At 34.3% G+C, this 20,208-nt stretch overlaps 1 annotated feature.

The window, feature by feature from the left end:
- Positions 1,558 to 2,084: an enhancer, noted in NCBI's record as "OCT4-NANOG hESC enhancer chr1:80647066-80647592 (GRCh37/hg19 assembly coordinates)". NCBI's record gives its function as "activates a minimal SCP1, AML or CMV promoter by ChIP-STARR-seq in naive H9 embryonic stem cells {active_cell/tissue: H9 hESC(naive)}" and the evidence as "EXISTENCE:reporter gene assay evidence [ECO:0000049][PMID:30033119]".

Genomic DNA, 20,208 nt, shown 5'->3' with positions numbered 1-20,208 from the left:
CTGTTCTTTTATTAGACAAAACAAACTTCAAAGCAACAGCAGTTAGAAAAGACAAAAAGGGACATTATATAATGATAAAAGGCCTTGTCCAACAGGAAAATATCACAATCCTAAATATATATGCACCTAACACTGGAGTTCCCAAATTTATACAGTAATTACTACTAGACCTAAGAAATGACATAGACAGCAACACAACAATAGTGGGGGACTCCAATACTCCACTGACAGCACTAGACAGGTCACCAAGACAAAAAGTTAACAAAGAAACAATGAATTTAAACTATACCCTGGAACAAACAGACTTAACAGATATTTACAGAACATTCTACCCAACAAGCACAGAAAATACATCTATTCATCAGCGCATGGAACTTTCTCCAAGATAGACCATATGATAGGCCACAAAACAAGTCTCAATGAATTTAAGGAAATCGACACTATAGCAAGTACTCTCTCAGACCACAGTGAAATAAAACTGGAAGTCAACTCCAAAAGGAACCTTCAAAACTATGCAAATAGATGGAAATTAAATAAACTGCTCCTGAATGATGATTGGGTCAACAATGACATCAATATGGAAATTAAAAAATTCTTTGAACTAAATGACAATATTGACACAACCTTTCAAAACCTCTAGGATACACTAAAGGAGATGCTAAGAGGAAATTTCATAGCATTAAATGCCTACATCAAAAAGTCTGAAAGAGCGCAAATAGACAATCTAAGGTCACACCTCAAGGAACTAGAGAAACAAGAACAAACCAAACCCAAACTCAACAGAAGAAAAGAAATATGCAAGATCAGGGAAGAAGGAAATGAAATTGAAAATAAAAATTACAAAAGATAAGTGAAATAAAAAGTTAGTCCTTTATTCCTAAATATTTTATTCTTTTATATGATTCTAAATAAAATTTTCTTAATATTATTTTCAGATTGTTCACTGTTAATGTATGGATATTTGTATCTACAACTCTGCCAAATTTTATCTTCTTTCTTTCTTTTTTTTTTTTTTTTTTGGAGACGGAGTCTCGCTGTGTCGCCAGGCTGGAGCACAGTGGCCCCATCTCAGCTCATTGCAACCCTCTGCCTCCCAGGTACAAGAGATTCTCCTGCCTCAGCCTCCTGAGTAGGTGGGACTACAGGCGCATGCCACCATGCCCAGCTAATTTTTGAATTTTTAGTAGAGACTGGGTTTCACCATGTTGGCCAGGGTGGTCTCGATCTCTTGACCTCATGATCCATCCACCTCCGCCTCCCAAAGTCCTGGGATTACAGGTGTGAGCCACAGGGCCTGGCCCAAATTTTATCATTTCTAATGGTTTTCTAGTGGATTCTTTATATACAAGACCATAATATCATTGGCAAATAAAGTTTTACTTCTTTATTTCAAATATGGATGCCTTTTATTTCTTTTTTTGCCTATTTGTCAAGATTAGAATCTCCAATAAAGTGTTAAACAGAAGAGGCAGAAGCAAACATACTTGCCTTGTTGCTGATCTTAGAGGGAAAGTAAGCAACTGAAGGAAACAAAAATATTTCACCCCGAATTACAATTTCATGACATAATTCAAGTTGGCTATCTAGAAGGACTGAAAATACAAGAATAGCTAAAATGTGTCTTTTGTGGGAGGATTTTTAACTGCAGAGAATATCTGCCATTGATGCAGCTAGACTTTTTCTAAGAGCTGATCTAGGAAAAATTAACTCACAAGCTGACACCTTTGAAGGTCTGAAAGAAATATTCACCATTTATTCTCTCTGTTGGCTGCTACTGTGAGGTTTTATCTGCATAACAAGGCCACCTTTGCTAGCAAAGCCTTCTCTTCTCCCTCTACAATAACCTGTTTTGTCATTATCCAAGCACCCATTCTTTCTGCAACCTCAAAATGGTATACAAGCTTAGTACTCCATTGTTGAGGTAATCATTCTCTGGTACTTCCACATGCATGTTGATAAATTTGTATACCATTTCTCTACTAATCTGCCTTTTATCAGCTGATTTTTAAAATTGAAAATCAGAAGGTGAAGGGGAAATTTTAACTTGATCTGTATACTATTTTTCATCATTAACATGATGTTAGTTGTGATTTTTTAATAGATGTTTATCAGGTTGAGACAGTTCCCTTGTATTTTTGTTTGTTTAATGTTTTCATCACGATAGCTTACTAAATTTTGTGAAATTTTTTATCTATTGAGATAATTGTGTGATATTTATTCTTTATTCTGTTAATATGGTATATTATACTGATTGATTTTCAATGTTAAAACAACTGATGGCCCTGTGATAATCTCACTTGCTCATACAGTACAATCCTTTCTCCAATTTCTACATTCAGCTTGCTAGTTTTATTATTTTTTTTGAGGATTTTTGTGTCAGTTTTCATAAGAAATATTGCTCTGTAATTTTCTTTCCTTGTTATGTCTTTGTTTGGTTTTGATGTCATGGTAATACTGGCCTCATAGAATTACTTATATTCTCTCCTCTTTTATTTTTTGAAAATTTTGTGAAAAACTGGTATTAATTCTTATTTAAAAGGTTGGTAGGATTCAATGGTGAAGGCATCTAGGTCTAGGCTTTACTTTGTGAGTTTCGTGGAATATTTCTTAGACTTTCTTACAATAACCTTGACAGTTTTGAGGAATTCTGGTCAGGCATTTTGTATAATGCCTCTCAATTTGGGATTTTTCTGATGTTTCTCTCATGCTGAAACTGGGGTTAGGCATGTTTTGACGGGAAAGTTTAAGTATCATTTTAACCACATTATTTAACCACATTGTTTCAAGGGCCTATACTGTCAACATGAAATCACTATTGATATTAACCTTGATTAACAGATTGAAGTAATGTTTGTCAGGTTTCTCTACTGTAAGATTGCTCTTTTATTTCTATATTCCATACTCTTTGGAAAAAAAGGCTCTATGTGTAATCCAGACTTAACTCCACCACCTTGATAATGTAGTATGTATACAAATTATTTGGAATTCTTCAGTATGAAACATTTATCTTTTTCTCTATTTATTCAATTGTTTGTTTTGTTTGTTTATTTCAAGATAGACTTATGGATATTTATTTAATACTTGGATTGTAATCCAATACAGAGTTATTTATTTTCTTGCTCAAATTGTTCTACCTTTTGGCCACTGGAAGCTCTTTCATTTGGCACTTGTGTTTTGACATACTATCAACATTGTGGGTTGTATTAATATTATTATCATTGTTATTAATTGTTATCATAATTAACATTTTAACACTTTCTTACATTCTGGTATTATGAGATGCTCCAGGCTCATTTTAAATATTTTCTGTCCCAGCCCTAGAATTAGTCATTTCTACAATAAACCCTGGTTTCTCTTATTGGAGAATAATATTAGAAACCAAAATTTGGGCCCTAGATGTGTTTATTGCTTCCAACATGTCATTGCTTCCAAGCCTTCTTAACTGATGGAGCAAGGAAATAAGTGAGTGCATACTAATGCATATATATACATGTATCTATAAATATTTCTATGTGTAATCATCTGTATCTATATTAAACTAAACATGAGTTTATACGTATGACTCTGACTCTAATATCACCTTCTTACCCACCCATTGCTTTTCTATAAACTCCCACTCAATGTCGAGTTTTTTGTATTTTTTAAGTATTAATTCAATCTCTTTGCTTGTTAAGATTATTTGTTCTTTTTTATTTATTTTTATTTTTACTTTTTTTACTATATTTTAAGTTCTAGGGTACATGTGCACAACATGCAGATTTGTTACATATGTATACATGTGCCATGTTGGTGTGCTGCACCCATTAACTCGTATATATATATGTCTTTTTTCTGCTTGAATCAGTTTTAGTAGTCTGTGTCTTTCTCAGAATTTATCCATTTTTGTCTATTTTATCTTTGTAAGAGATAGGAAAAAATAAACTGTTTCCTCATGCCCATCACTCAACACAGAACATTTCTATGAATAAAACATGTGTAAGTTTTCCCCAACATCAAGTAATTCTCCAGCAAATCCCAACTGGGTGTCCTATAATTCAATTTAATTCTGACACTAGCTACCTGGAATTACAGGCAGACCTCATGGGATAAGGGCTCAGTCCTACAATACTGCCCCCTATTTTAAGTGCAAATCAAAAGTAGCAGGCTGTCACTTATATTTCTGACCAACCAACGTAAATCAGGTTCCCACAACCCCCTCCTCAGGTTCAATTAATTTGCTAGGATGGCTTACAAAACTCAGAGAAACATTTACTTATGTATACTAGTTCATTATATTAATGAAGGATATGATAAATGATATAGAAGAACAGCCAGATGAAGAGACACATAGGGTGAGGTTTAGAAGGGTTCTGACTACCAGAGCTTCTGTCCCTGTGGATTTCAGGTGTGCCACCCTCCTGGCACATACATGTGTTCATCAGTCCAAAAAGCTCTCTAAACTCTGTACTTCAGAGATTTTTATGTAGGCTTCATCACATAGGCATGATCAATTATTAACTCAATCTCCAGCCTCTCTTTCCTTTCAAGAGAATGTGATTTGGGGCTGAAAGTTCCAAGCTTATAATCATGGTTTGGTCTTTCTGGTGACCAGCCCTCATCCAGGAGCCCAGCAAGAGTGGCCTCATTAGAACAAAAGACTCTTCTGTCACCTAGGAAATTACAAAGGTCTCAGGAATTCTGTATTAGGAACTGAAGTAGAAGACAGAGTATTAAAACAAAAATTTCTCCTTGCGCATATCTATACACAAGGATTTTAGGAGCTCTGTGTCAGGAATAAGGGGCAGAGTCATGTATATATGTATATGTGTGTGTGTGTGTGTGTGTGTGCATATATACATATATGTGTGTGTGTGTATATATACTCTCTATACATACATATTCCACAAACTAGTTTATTAGCACAAAATTTTTTCATAGTATTTCCTTATAGTCCTTTTAAAAATGATTGTAGTCAGTAGTTAGTTCCCCATTTTATTCCTAATTTTAATAATTTTAGTTCTCCCTCTCATCAATCTTAGTTTTTGTGGTATTTTTGCACGTTCAATTTTTAAAGAACCAGCTTTAGTTTGTTGACTTTCTCTTTTTCTTTTCTCCATTGCATTTAATTTCTTACAATAATCTCTTATTTTCTTCCTTCTGATTGCTTTGTGGTTATTTTCTCTTCAAGTTTCTTAGAAAGAAAGGTTAGATTGTTTATTTGAGATCATTTTTCTCTAGTAATATAAGCATTTATAGTTGTAAGTTTTCTCATAAGTGCTGCTTTAGCTGAATACCATACATTTTGATATGTTAAGCTTTAGTTTTCACTTATCTCAAATATTTTCTAATTTTTCCTGTAATCATTTTTCACCCATTGGTGATTTAGGACTATGTTGTTTAATTTTTACATATTTATACATTTCTCAAATTTTATTTTGTTATCAATTTCTAACTTAATTTCATTGAGTCAGAGAATATATTTTACATGATTTCAATCCTGTTAAATTTATTGAGCTTGATTTATTTGTTAGCATGTGATCTACTCTGAGTAAATATTTTATGTGTACCAGAGAGTAACGTGTATTCTGTTGTTGTTGGGACATAAACCCTTTTATCCTTTTAAAATGTCCATCTTTGTCTCTAGTGAATTTTTTTGGTTTGTAATCAGTTTTTGTTAATTTTATTTTATTTATTTATTTATTTTTGAGACAGAGTTTCGCTCTTGTCACCTATAGTCCCAGCTACTCAGGAGGCTGAGGCTGGAGAAACACTGAACCCAGTAAGTAGAGGATGCAGTGAGCTGAGATTGTGCCACTACACTCCAACCTGGGTGACAGAGTAAAACCTGGTCTAAATAGTAAAAAATAAATATAAAAATAAGACAACATGTGTTTGTTTTGTGTCTCCTATTGACAGGATATAGTTTGATTTTGACTTTTTTGTCATCTGACAATTTCTACCTGTGGATTGGACTTTTTAATCTATTCACATTTAATGTTATTACTAATATACTTGTATTCAAGTGTTTTTACCATTATCTACATAATTAGAGTAATTGGGGCTATTTTTTAGTGTGGATTTGAAATATTGTGTGGACTTACTGGATTTGAGCCTGAGAAACTTCATTTAATATTTCTTTTAAGGCAGTATGCTAGCAATGAATTTTATGTTTTTGTTTATCTGAGAATGTCTTATTTTGCCTTCATTTTGGAAAGACAGGTTTGCTACTATAATATTCTTGGTTGACAGTTATTATTCTCTCACTCTGGCTCTCTCTTTAAATATATTATCCCACTCTTTGCTGGTATCTCATGTCTCTGAGAAAAGATCAACTATTAATTTTATTGAGAATTTTCTTATATATGATGAGTTATTTTCTTTTGCAGATATCAAGATTTTCTCTTTGTCATTGGCTTTCAACCTTTTGGCTATGATGTATCTGGGTTTGGGACTCCCTACTTTTATCTTATTTTGAGTTTGTTGAGTTCTTGGATGTATAGATTAATATTTTTCAGCAGATTTGGAAAGTTTTTAGACTATTTTGTTAAATACTTTTTCTGCTTTTCTCTCCATTTTTTGTTCTTCTTATTACATATACATGGGTGCACTTAATGATGTGTCACACTTCTCTGAGTCTCTGTTTATTTGACTTCATTTCTTAAATTCATTTTTAACTGTATTAGATCATTTTCATACTGCTATCATTTATAAAGGTAAAGAGGGGTAATATAAAGGAAAGAGGCTGAATCAACTCACTGTTCCACATTGCTGGGGAGGCCTCAGGAAACTTATAATCATGGTGGAAGGCAAAGGAGAAGCAATGACACATCTTACAGGGTTCAGGCAAGAGAGGTGCAAGCAGGGGTAATACCAGATGCTTATAAAGCCATCAGATCTCATAAAAACTCACTCACTATCATGAGAACAGCATAGTGGAAACCACCCCCCATGATCCAATCACCTCCCTCTAAATATCTCCCTAGACACATGGGGATTATGAGGATTACAATTCAAGATGAGATTTGGGTGGGGACACAAAGCCTAAACATATCATTAATCAACCAAACAAGCAACAAGTGATGTCTTCATTTTTTTCTCTCTGCTCTTTAGATTGCATAATCACTATTGATCTGTCTTCACGTTCACTGATATTTTTCCTCTGGCAGCTCAAATCTACTGGTGAGGCTCTCTAGTGCATTTATTATTTTAGTTATTGTACTCTTCACCTCCATAATATCCATTTGACTCTTTTTTAAAAAATAATTTCTATATCTTGATTGTTACTATCCACTTAATAGAGACATTGTTATTACACCTTCCTTTAAACCTTTAGACTTCTTTAGTTCTTTGAACATATTTATAGTATCTGCTTTTTAAGTTTCTGTTTACTAAATCCACTATTTGAACTACTTCACAGGCAGTTTTTTTTGCCTGCTTTTTCTTCTTTGCACAGGTCACACATTCTTGTTTCTTTGCATTTCTCATGAATTTGTGTTGAAACCCAACATTTAGATAAATGCAGTGTAGCAACCTGAATACTGACGCTCTCTTTCTTCTTCCTGCCTTGTACAGCCTCTATGTCATTCCATAGATTACAAAGCCTTGGGCATATATATATATATATATACACTCTTCCTGAACACCTGCTTTGGCCTGACTCTATTGGTATCACAGCCAACTGTCAGCTTCTACCAGTTTCTAACTGATTGCTATATTGCTATATTGTTTTCACATAAATGCCCTGGAGCCTAAATTGTTCCACATTCTGATCCCTCAAAATAGTGCCCCTTTGCAAGGACAGAGTGTTGCCAGTCTTTGAGGCTGCTCTTATACTCAAGAGCTATTTTGAGTACCTCTTTCCCTGTTAAACTTCTAGCTATTCTAATATTTCATTACCATAAATCTCAAGTTGTTAAATGAGATTACTCCTCTTAATTTCTCACCAATATCTCCATTGTTTCCAACAACACCCTTAGGAATAAACTTAATCACACTCTGTACCAAATAAGTTCAGTGCCCTTAAGCTGAACAATCAAGAGCGTTGTTCTTAAGGCCTGGCCTCCCCCTAGTCAGTACTTTTGTGCCACTGCACTGCAGCTGGGATTGGGACACCATCTGCTTCTCAAATTTTCATCCCTGTTCTATAAACAAAGCACAGAGCAGAAGAAAAAGCCTCTGATCTTCTCAGCTTACCCCTCCTGACATGAAACTTCTGTCCTAGAATTGTTCTGGGCCAGAAACTCAGTATTATTTTTTAGGTTAAGAGGGGGTACATGTGCAGGTTTGTTACATGAGTAAATTGTGTGGCTCTTGGTTTTGATGTACAAATGATCCTGTCACCAAGTAGTGAGCATTGTCTGATGTTAGTTTTTCAACCCTTACTCCCCTTCCAATCTTCCCTCCCTCTAGCAGTTCTCACTGTATTATTCCCATCTTTGTGTCTGTGTATACTCAATATTTAGCTCCCACTTATAAGCAAATTAACACAGGAACAGAAAACCTAGTATTCTTGGCCTACTGCACCTGGGTAGAACTTTTGTCACCTTGAGATATGGAGAAGGTTGAGCTTAAATGCCACAGACTTTCATTGTTCTTACTGAGATTTAGTGGATTTTCATCAATAGATGTTTTTCCATTTGTTATATGCCTTTAGTATAATTTCCAGAGACTTTAGTTTTTCGTTTATTTGTTTGCTTAATTACTTTTCAGTGGTAAATGGCTATTTCACTAGAGAGAAAGTCTGCAGCACAACTCACACCACCGTCTGGAAGTCCCTCTCTCTCTTGCTTGGTCTTAAGAGCATTTTTAAACTTAGACACTCTATTAGTCCATTCTCACATTGCTATAAAGAAATAATTGAGACTGGAGTAATTTATAAAGAGGTTTAATTGGCTCATGGTTCCACAGGATGTAGAGGAAGCAAGATGCTAGCCACCTGCTTGGTTTCTGGGACAACCACTGGAAATTTACAATCATGGCAGAAGGTGAAGAAGAAGCAGACTTATCTTAAGTGGCTGGAGAAGGAGGAAGAGAGAGAAGGGGGGAGGTGCAACACACTTTAAAACAACCAGATCTTATGAAAACTCACTCACTATCATGAGAACAGCACCAAGGAGATGGTGTTAACCATTCATGAAAAGTCCGCTCCCCATTATCCAATCACCTCCCATCAGGCCCCATCTTCAACTTTGGGGAATGCAATTGAACATGAGATTTGGGTGGGGAACAGATCCCAACATATCAGATATGGAACAGAATGTGACTGTGTTATTAATATATTTATTTGTTTTTAATGAATTATAATCTTTAAGAGTTAGAACTTGATGCATCCAATGAAAATCACCTAACCCTTTCCCTTGTCAAAACAAAAGTAGTAACTTCAGGAAAAACTCTTAGTTTAATATATCAATGGAAAAAATATAGAATTTTTTAATATTTTAAAATATGCATTTAGTCCATCAAGAACAGATTATCTGTATTCAAAATTTCCACAAAATATTGTTTTTTGTTTTATATAGTATACATTTGAAAGCTCTAGAGACATGAAGATTGAAAGTAATTGTAACATTCTAAATTTCTAAAGTAGATAAAAATATTGATAAAATGTAAATGCTCTTCTCACCAATATTACTATGGCAGATACTATTGGTGTTTTGCCAATTTGCTTCTTCCCACTGTACAATTTCACTGGATAATTCCTGTACCCAGCAGTATGTTCTTTCCTCATAAATCTGCTTCTTTTTACTTAAGGACTTTCTCAAGCTGCAGGTATATCTCTGACCCATGCTCTGGGTAAGACTGGAGGTTTTGTTTGTTTGCTTGTTTATTTGTTTGTTTTTGAGACAGAGTCTCACTTTGTCTCCCAGGCAGGAGTGCAGTGGCTCGATCTTGGCTCACTGCAACCCCTGCCTCCAGGGTTCAAGCGATTATTCTGCCTCAGCCTCCTGAGTAGCTGGGATTACAGGCATACTTTATGCCCAGCTAATTTTTGTATTTTTAGTAGAGATAGAGTTTTACCATGTTGGCCGGGCTGATCTCAAGCTCCTGTCCTCAAGTGGTCTGCCTTCCTTGGCCTCCCAATGTGCGGGGATTACAGGTGTGAGCCACCATGCCTGGCTGGACTGGAGTTTTTTAGGGAGCTAATATTCCCACACATACAACCAGAAGCAAATATCTACCAATGAGCAACAGACGTTGCTGGATAAATAGTGCCTCGGTGTCTCCGTGAATGAGCCCATCTCATATCTGAGCTAGATTCTTGCTTGTGGGATCTGCTTCTGGTGTCCACAGCAATAACCCATTCATCAATACATCTTCCATTGACTTTCTTCCCTTTCTGTCTCGCTTTCTTATTCCGTCACCATGCTTCCAAATGAAGTACTTGCACTAAAATCTTTCTCTCTGGTAATGTTTTTGAAGGGACCAAACTATGTTATTCACCATTTAGAAACTACGGTAAGTAATCTTCTGAGGCTTATTAAAAAGACGGCAAAAGTGTATTCCATCAGAATCTCAGTATCTCTCATTATTTTAATTTAGCTGACAACATTTGGTTTTATTTAATTATTAAACTCTGAATTCAAGTCCTTATTTGTTGACGTAAAAATCGTCTATAAGAGTCTATGTTGTATCTGTTAACGATATTTATAACCTAGTAAGAAATTTCTATATTTAACTTAAAATTTATATTACTTTTCTTTCTGAAAGACATACTTATTTGTTGGAAAGAGTAATTATAGCCTTGGCCATTCAGATTAAGAGAGAGCTGAGGGGTCTCTCACTGCCAGAAAAAGAATAAATAAAACAAAACTATACAGCAATCCATGAAAATCTTGGTGTCTCTTACATTTCTACTATTTTACTTGGAAAAGAAAAAGCATAGTAACTAAAAGTGCACCCATCACAGCATCTAAATATGAGACCCTGCACATAGTAAGTGATCACTAAATCTTTGCTGCATGAAGCTTTAAACAATGGCAAAGAAGCCAGGTAAGTTGAAAGATGAGAGGAGACAAAGCAATGTCTAAGAGGAAATCACCTCTAGAATAAGTAATAATTGAGTGTTGTTTATTAAAAACTTACCCCATAAAGTAAGTGTAACATAAGCTAAGTTCCAGAGTAGAAATAAAAATTATCAGATAATATGTGAGAAATCAAGAGATAATTTGAATTTTTCAGCTGAAAGGTGTTTTTTTCAATATTGGAAGAAACCTCCTATACATGCTGAATATAACATATTTGTTAATGTCTACTGGTTCTTTTCTCCAAAACACTGACAAGAGGGGGCAACAGAGTTGTCTGACCAAGGGAATTGAGCAGACAACTGAGACCTTGATCTGGTTTTAAATGACTCTGAGGGATCTATCTGTTCAATAAATTCACAAGATCTCATGAGATTATCAAAAGATGTCCACAAATAAATTAATTCGATGACTTAATTTTTGGAACATGTTAATATCTGCTAATGACCTTCAGTAATGACATTGTAGGGTGAGATGGTGGTAGAATGTGAATATGAAGATTCACGGTAACTGCAGAGTTGTGACTCTGGGGCATGGGAAAATTGCTTTGCTCATACATCAAGGCGTGAGAAACCAAGAGCCCAAAGAAATAAGAAATGAAAAGCTAGTCCATTTGGGGTTATGAATTTTTTCCTTCATGTTCTTGGCACGTTTGTGGAGAGAGTACTTTCTTTCTATAACGCAGATGTAAGGCAGACTGTTTTTCTCATAAGCAGATCACAACCTACAAATGCTTCTTAATCCACCTTTCACTTTGAATGGTAACCCCCAGCCCCTAAACACTTACATAAAAATAAAGTTAAGAAATATATTTTTTTAAAGTCCCCTTTAGGCCTTAGGAATATGCAGTACCCAGAGCTCAGTTTTCTGCAGTAGCACATAATTAAATGGCACTTCCAAGTTTTGAATGACAATATCATATTAAATTCAGAAAGGAAAACTGTCAGCAAAATGTAGATTATTCACTTTGTGAATTCAAGATTCTTGATTTGAATGAACTGCTTTATAAAATGTGGGAAAGAGGGAGGCAGATGAAACAATTGCAAAATCCTGATGAATTATACTGTTTGGAGAACTAAATTTTTAATGTTAACTAGGAAAAACTGGTGAAGCTAATATAGTCTAAGGAACACTATCAAAGACTCTCTTCTGGGCAGAATGCCAGACAGTTTGAGCCAGCTTTCCACAGCTCTACCTTCAGGTTTTATTTAAATTGAAATAAAGCCTGTCATCTTAGCTTTAGCTGGCACAATGAAATGCACAGCTTCTTGCTCAATTCCAACATTAGTCCTACAATTGCATCTAGTGATATACATTTGCAAATATATATGCTGCAGCATTTTTACACAGCTTGCCAAAAGTTATTGTTAAAACTCATTATTCAGCTAAAAGTGAAATAAATGAATAGATGCATAAATAACTAACTAAATAAATAACATCAGTAGCTTCACAGTTGATTTGCCAGAAGCAGCTCTGCTGGGAATGGAAACATCTGGAAATGAAATGGATGTATCATAGAAATCAGGTTGACCTAATTAGGGTCATCTGGACTTATTCCTTTACATGACACCATTTTTTTTTCCTGGTAGAATCAGAAATCTCTTCTTCAACTCACTTCTTAACGTCTTAGGAGCTAGGTGTCCAGAGACCCTTAAATCAATCAAGTCGATTGGCATTTTGGAAACATTTCTCAAACTCAACCACTTCTGTATTTTGCTTGATGATGGACCTTAAATCAAATAGTCATTGCAGTCTTCTAAATATGTTTTTTCTGTATCCACATAAATCTTCCACTTACAAATATTTTCAGCTACTCACATCAAGTACATTTATTTCTATCATATCCTTCTTATTGGATATATTGTTATATTCAATATAATAGAAATAATCTCATTGTTATATAAAACTATCCATTTCCTTGACAATTTAACTGTGATCTCAATGTGTTTTACTAATGCATTTGGAAAATAATTTAGTTTTATTTATAATTTGTAAAATATAGTGTTTTTAACCATATCATTTTATTCAATAAGGTAGCTAGTATTTATTATCTACTATGTACAAAACATTATACTAGCTAATATAGGGAAAGCTCATATAAACATCAAGCATAGCTGGTATTCTAAGGCCCTTGAAATCTAATAGGGAATAAAAGACTATCATACTTGGAAAGCAAACTAAGATCAAATTAAGAATGAAGAGGAAATGGAATTAGTCATATTTTTAGAATAGTATCTTGGCATTGATTTGAACCAAAACCTGAAGAACAGAAAGATTCACAAATGGGTATAGAATGGCAGAAACTGTATTTTGTGGAGTGATATTTTTATATCCAAAGATAGCTGGATAATGAGATGTGGAATAATACTAGAGTAAGTCATTTGGGGTAAAAGCAAGATTTCAAATTGAAGATCAGTAACAGAAAAATTGGTAAGAAAAAACAAGTTGCTAGATCATGGCCAGTTTACAACATGACCCACTTAAGTTTATATGAAAAGTTTTGAGATACGATTCTAAACATCTGAATAGAACAGTGGATTGAGTATAGTAATACAGTATATTCATCTTTCTAGTATACCTTCTCTTATAGCACATGTTGAAAAATTAAAACTACATGTCCCAGAATCCCTCACACTTAGCTTTCAAGATACAAATTAATTCCCTTCATACAGATGCACTTGCACTTGCTTTAGAAGATGGAAATCAGAGAGATGTTTTTCCCTGTCTTAGTCAGTTTGAACTGCTATAACAAAGTACTGTAGACTAGGTAGCTTATAAACAACAGAAATTTATTTCTCACAGTTCTGTATGCTGGAAGTCCAAGATCAGGTTGCCAGCATGATAGGGTTCTAGTTGGGGCCCTCTACCAGGTTCACAGACAGCCATCTTCTATCTGTGTCCTTACATGGCAGAAAGGAGAGAGGGCCCTCTGACTTCTCTTTCATAAAGGCACCAATTCCATTCATGGGAGCTTTACCTTCATAATCTCATTACTTCCTCACAGTGCCACTTCCTAATACTATCACATTGGGAATTAGGATTTCAACATATGAATTTTTCAGTCCGCAGCACCTCTTCTCCTCCCTTTGGCTGTTGCTGCAATGTATAGTCATGGATGCACCGATTATGGATGCTGTATCTCTGCAGCAGCACTCCAAGGTCCAGGTACTAATTTGTGGGTCTAGGAATCAGTGGCCACAATGGTTTGGATAGCTCTCTATTTCCTTAATTGTAGCTCTAGTAGAGTCTCTTGACTTACTTCTTTTTGATTCTAGCAGAAATAGCATTCCTGATGAACAGTTTCAGTGGCATGGTTCTAAGACTTACAGGATCTGGAGGCCCAGGGTAGAACCTACTTTTGAAACCATCAAAAATTTTTATGAGCGTATAATTTGATGTACAAATTAACTTTTATACCAATAAATAAAGTGATTTGAGTTTTCTGTACATACTGTATTTGAGCAACACTATAAAAGACTTTCATTGATATTCGATACTTATTTTCAGTGGGAACATTGGAAAGCTATGCTTGAAATCTGTCAACTCAAGACTAGGATAACTTCTGATAACATTCGTATATCTGTTTTGTATAATTTGTCTTTATTGGAGAGTTTGGCTAAATAAATTACTGATTATCCTTTCAGCTTTAATTACGTGGATTAAATAGCATGCAGTTTTAGTGTGTAATGTTCTATTTCAATAGTCAATACTATTCCACACAGTAAAACCTTGACCTTCTAGAATTCTTAAAGAAAAAGAATTCTAGCTAAAGCATCCCTATATAAATAAGAGCATTATTCACAATTATTTTATATATATATACATATAACTATAATATATATAACTCATAACTATTATCTAATTACAGAATAGAAGAGTGAAACCTTAACATTGTTGAAAACAGGAAAAATAAGAAAAAACACAAATAATCTCATAATTCCACTAAATAAATACATCTGCCACTAATTTTTAAGCACGTATATTTTTATTTGCCACAATGAGCATTTATTGTTCATATTGCTTATAACTTACCTTTTTAAGTGAAATGAACAATGACTCATGCTATAACTTAAATATATAACACTAATAATCATGCTTTCTTTGTTGTCAGTTATGTCATTTTAAACTTATTTATAATAAATATTACTGTAATATGTCTGGGATGTTTAAATTTAAACTCTTGCATGAAAGTGTTTTTGTAACTATAACCAATATGCAACTATCTATAGATAAATAATTGGACGTGATTGAGTATTCCTTGATAACTCAGAAGTAGTCTGTAAATAATGGTTATGTGACATACTTTTAGATAGAGATGGAGACTTGGTACATGGAATAGAAATCAGTGCCTATTGACTTCAAAGATGACCCTGTGTGTGTGTGTTTTTTTTAATGGTTTCTTGAAAGAAAATCTTTAACATTTCACACTCCAAAGAAGGTTATTCTTCACCACTGACCTTAGGGTTTGTTGGTTTCTTATCATCAGTTAAAGCATCTTTAGACTCTGAGTACTACCACTGTTAGGGGACCACTTCTTCTGTCTTTTTCACACTGCATATTAGCAGGAGTAAGGAAATATCACTGCTCTTTTTCAAAAAATGTTTATTAATGTTTCATGTTGATATTCAAACTTGGAAACATACTTCAAAGTAAAATAACAGTTTTGTTTTGTTCTGTTAAAGCTGAATTAAAATATTTTGCTTGGTCTTGAGAACAAATGCTTTCACAAACCTTCCCAAACTCACCCTGTAAATGACTTATTGAAACAGACTACAAGAAAAGATTTAGCTGCATGTAAATTACAGCTTGTTTCACAAACCAATCATGGGCAAATTCAGAGTTAGAGAGTTTCAGTACAAACAACAGGCCTATTGTGCTTTTATTGTCCTTACTTTATTTTTAAATTTTTTATCTTGAAATAATTCCAGACGTACAGAAAAAGATACAAGAAGAGTATAAAAACTCCTTTATAAAGACATATAACTCCTTTATGAAGACACTGGATTCTTCAGTTGCTAACATTTTACCACATTTACCTTATCATTCTATTTCCATATGTATTTATGTTCATTATTTTTTCTTGATCATTTGTGAGAACAATGATTATTTTTCCTAAATACTATAGCATGTAGTTTCTTAAAACAAGGAATTACTATACATAACCACAATAGAAACATGAAAATAGGAAAATTGAATTGATAGCATACTACCATCTAATACATAGGTTCCATTCAAATGTGTTCAATCATCTCATTTATATTCTTTAAAATTCCAAAAGCAACAGATCATGAAATATAATTATCAACATTTATTTAGAAGTTTCGATTGTGTCAGATTTGACAGCAAATATGCCCTTAAGTTGGTTCTTGTGTCCTTTTGACATGTGGCATTATGCCCCTCATTCTTTGGTCATGTTCTTTCTTCTGGTACAAAAAGATGTTGCAGGTTTAGCTTATAATTTACTTGACCCAGCTCTGGAATCAGCCATTTCTCCAAGAAGCTCTGGTTTCTTTTATTGGAGGACTGAATTTGAAAACCAAGATACAGATGCCCACATGATCAACACATATTTACTGAACATCTACCATATATAGGATGTTCAGCTAGGTGTTTCGGGGAGTCCATAGATCTAACTGTATTCATATGCTTTTTAAAATTAGTATAATTTAACCTTATCTTATTAGAGGACTTCTTTATCATCTGTCCTGTCATCATTGGTTATCTTCTGGCCTTTCTCCTTGTGTCTGTTTTCACACTCCTTGTAACCTCCTAGTTCTATGATGTCAACCTGACTTGAACAACATTATGATCATGGTGTAGCACTTCCCAGAATATCTGGAAGTGTCATGATACAGGACAGGTTAATGCTATCTACCTGTATACACTCTTGAATTAGTTCATGGAGGCAAGTTTGATTAACAATATTTATGCATGTGTGTATATACCCACACCACATGCACTAAGAAAAAACTAAATGATGGCAAAACAGAAGCCCTCCTATGCCAACTTTGTCTGTGAAACTCTTGTCTGCTTCTAATAGATGTGTTCATTATTAAATTCTTAATAAATTTTGGATAGTATTATATATAGTGTTTTTTCTTGCCCCATCACTCCTAGGAATGATAAATCCCTAAACTATGATGTGAGAGCTATACTATTTTCTCTCTCCCAGATTCTATTCTTACTTCCTCATCTTTCTGACTACTCCCACCAGTTTAAATACTACTGTCCACCTTGCATACCTCAGAGCAGCATATTCCTTTTATTTGAGCAAAAGGTAAGCATAGGTAGTTTGACAATTTGGAACCCAATGAATGGAATCTATAAAGCAACACACCTGCTGTGAAACCGCAAACACGTGCACTTTACTACAATTTATCTCCTGTTTGAACGTTTTCTATGTGTCTCTGTCATCCTACTTCTCACAATTTATAGCAACTATTTATTTACATATTTATTCACGGATTTATTTACAGTAATAGTAATAAAGCCAGTTGGGTAGGGATCAGGGAATTGCTTTGTATGTGTTCAAAATGGAAGTTTTTCTTGCTTTACTTTTATGTTAATTTTTGCCCATGGTACATATGGACTTTATTTTTTATAACTCCAAGCCCAGATCATGACACACTGCCTAGCAGAGCACCTAGTAAGGTCTCAATAAATACAAAATATTTAGTGACTTAATGAACAGGTCTGAATTAATGTATTAAAGTATTAATAACTGCCTTAGTAAAACAATTATTGTTTTACAAATATAAAACAGTGTTATTAATTGCCTTGGTAAAACATTGCTACCATTCTCAAGCATGTTAACAATGTGAACATGCTTAAACATGTTAAGTACACAGCTTAACATGCTGAAATAAGTCAGAGCAAGAGCATGCTCCCTAAGGCTCTCTGCTATTAAAAGGTAAAGAACCAGGTTTGAACCTGATTTCTGTTCAAATGCAAAACTTCTTTTAAAAAGTATTTACTGCTTTAATTAGTGCATTTTTAGAAAAAAAGAAAATCTCTAGCCCTGTAGACTGGTAGTAGGTAGTTAGGTTTTTTGTTTCACCAGGTTTGTATTTTTGATGGCTTACTTATTCTCCTCTGTATTATAAGTGATTTAGGATTAATCTTAAAGGGCCACCATTCCGTTGGCAAGACATGGGGAACAGGAAACAAAATTAGATCTAATTTTTTTTTCTAAAACTAGACATAGAAGACACTGTCTGGTTATTTCAAGCCCCAGAGCAATACATTTATAAATTCATTAAAGATATTAAGACATATTTTTTCTCTAGGCACAATTACCTGGTTAATGGAATTTTGCATTTTAACAAGGAGCTATAATTGCAATAAATTGTTGCAACAAATTTAGGACATTTTTACTTTCTTTGTATAGTATTGGTTCTATCTTAATGCTGATACTGATCCATAATATTTAAAATCATTATACATATCCTCAAGATACGTGTGAAAGAATAGAATAAGTCATCTCCCTATTCCTTTTCTAACCTATGCAATTGAATATATGTAAATTTTCATTTTTTCACACAAACCTAACCTACCTTATTTTAAATTCATTGTAGGAACTTGACTTGCAAGGGAAAAAAAATTATAGAATATTTTAAAGTCCTATTGCTGTGGAGATTTATGCAAATTCCTTATGGTAATGTAGATATAACTTTGCCTTCATCAATAATGATGCATATTTTCATGTGAAATATGTGAAATATAGGCTGCACCCCATCACCAATATATGAGACCTCTCCACTGTACTTATTTTATAAAAAGCATTGGCGACATTTCATTGAAAAATACCCTGATGCTAATTTAATGTTTCAAATGACTTAAGGACTTTTAAACACCGGATTCAGATGTGGAAATGAAATCCTTTTATTTTCTCCGTGAAGGCGAGGGAGGGAGGGAGGGGAGATGGCTTGGAAGGGTTGGAAATCAAAGCAGGTTTTAATAAACATAAGCTATTAAGAATCTTATTCAAATTAAGGAGTCAACAATGGCAGGTATAACAAGGTTTCACAAGTTCTATATTTAAAATGCACAGTAATACTAGTATGTTTTGACTATTCCTTTTCCACTCTAAATTAAAGTTATGACTTTGAACACTAGGGGATGTTAGTGAATGAAATAATCAACTGCAAAATGGGAAATCACTTGTTCTGAAAATCTTTCCTCAAGTGATTTTTGGAATAGAATGTATGCAATAGAATTTTTCCTTTTCTCCAACTGGGAAAAGAAAAGAAAATATAAGTTTTAAAAATTATCATATTAAAACACATATGGCATAAGGCCTCTTTTTACTTACCAAAAATATTTTTGACAGAAAAAGAAAAGGACTGGAATCTGGGAGGGCAAGTCGACATGTAATTTTTAAGTTCTATTACATTGATTGATTTCATAAAAGAAACAAGCTATTTAAAAATTATATTCCATTCACTTGTCTCCTTGTAGTCTTCAACAGATGGCATCCAGCAAAAGAGGCATGCCATCAATCATTCTGTGTCTTGCCCAGCACTTTTTCTGTCCCACTTTTCTTGTGCCTTTCAGCGCCATTTGCCACTGTGGCAGCTCTACATATCTGTTTGCTGAAACAGTCAGATGCAATAGCTTGGCTTCAAAAGTTACTTGGCCTCAGTTTCAGTCTCTCTCTTGAGAATAGTTAGGCACAGCGCATCGTGTCTACATGTTCATGTCAATAAAATATCATTTGTAAGGGAGGTGAGCAAGGACGGCATTGGTACTGAACGATCGCTTTAGGGTGTGCAAGAGTCTGTTAGTCTTTATTGTTTTAAAAAAGTTGGATTTTGTGGTGCAACTTAATTTGGTGGCTTGGAACCACAAACTCTTGCATTCAGAAGCATCGCCAAGGTTTTGACAATTCCTACCAATTAAGTTCAAATGTGTCACAAAGTGACCCATCTGACAGTATCTTGTCAGTCAGTTAACAACAAGTTATATCCTGTTGCATGAATTAGAGACACAATCAACTCCCAAAGGGGTTCTTCTAAAGGGCAAGAGCAGTAGCATATTACAAGAGTATAAGATTTGCATTTAAAGGAGAGAGGAATTAACTTTCACTAAGTTAATAAATGCCTACACTCTTTTGAGCACTAATAGGTGTTAGTTTGCACTTAGAAATCCATTCTAAGTGAACAGATGCTACGTAGAAATGTTTGTGCCACAGTTGAAAAGCATAATGACC

This window comes from Homo sapiens, chromosome 1 (assembly GCF_000001405.40).
Source record: "Homo sapiens chromosome 1, GRCh38.p14 Primary Assembly".
In the NCBI taxonomy this organism is placed as follows: domain Eukaryota; kingdom Metazoa; phylum Chordata; class Mammalia; order Primates; family Hominidae; genus Homo; species Homo sapiens.
This window is presented reverse-complemented; position numbering and strand designations above follow the sequence as displayed.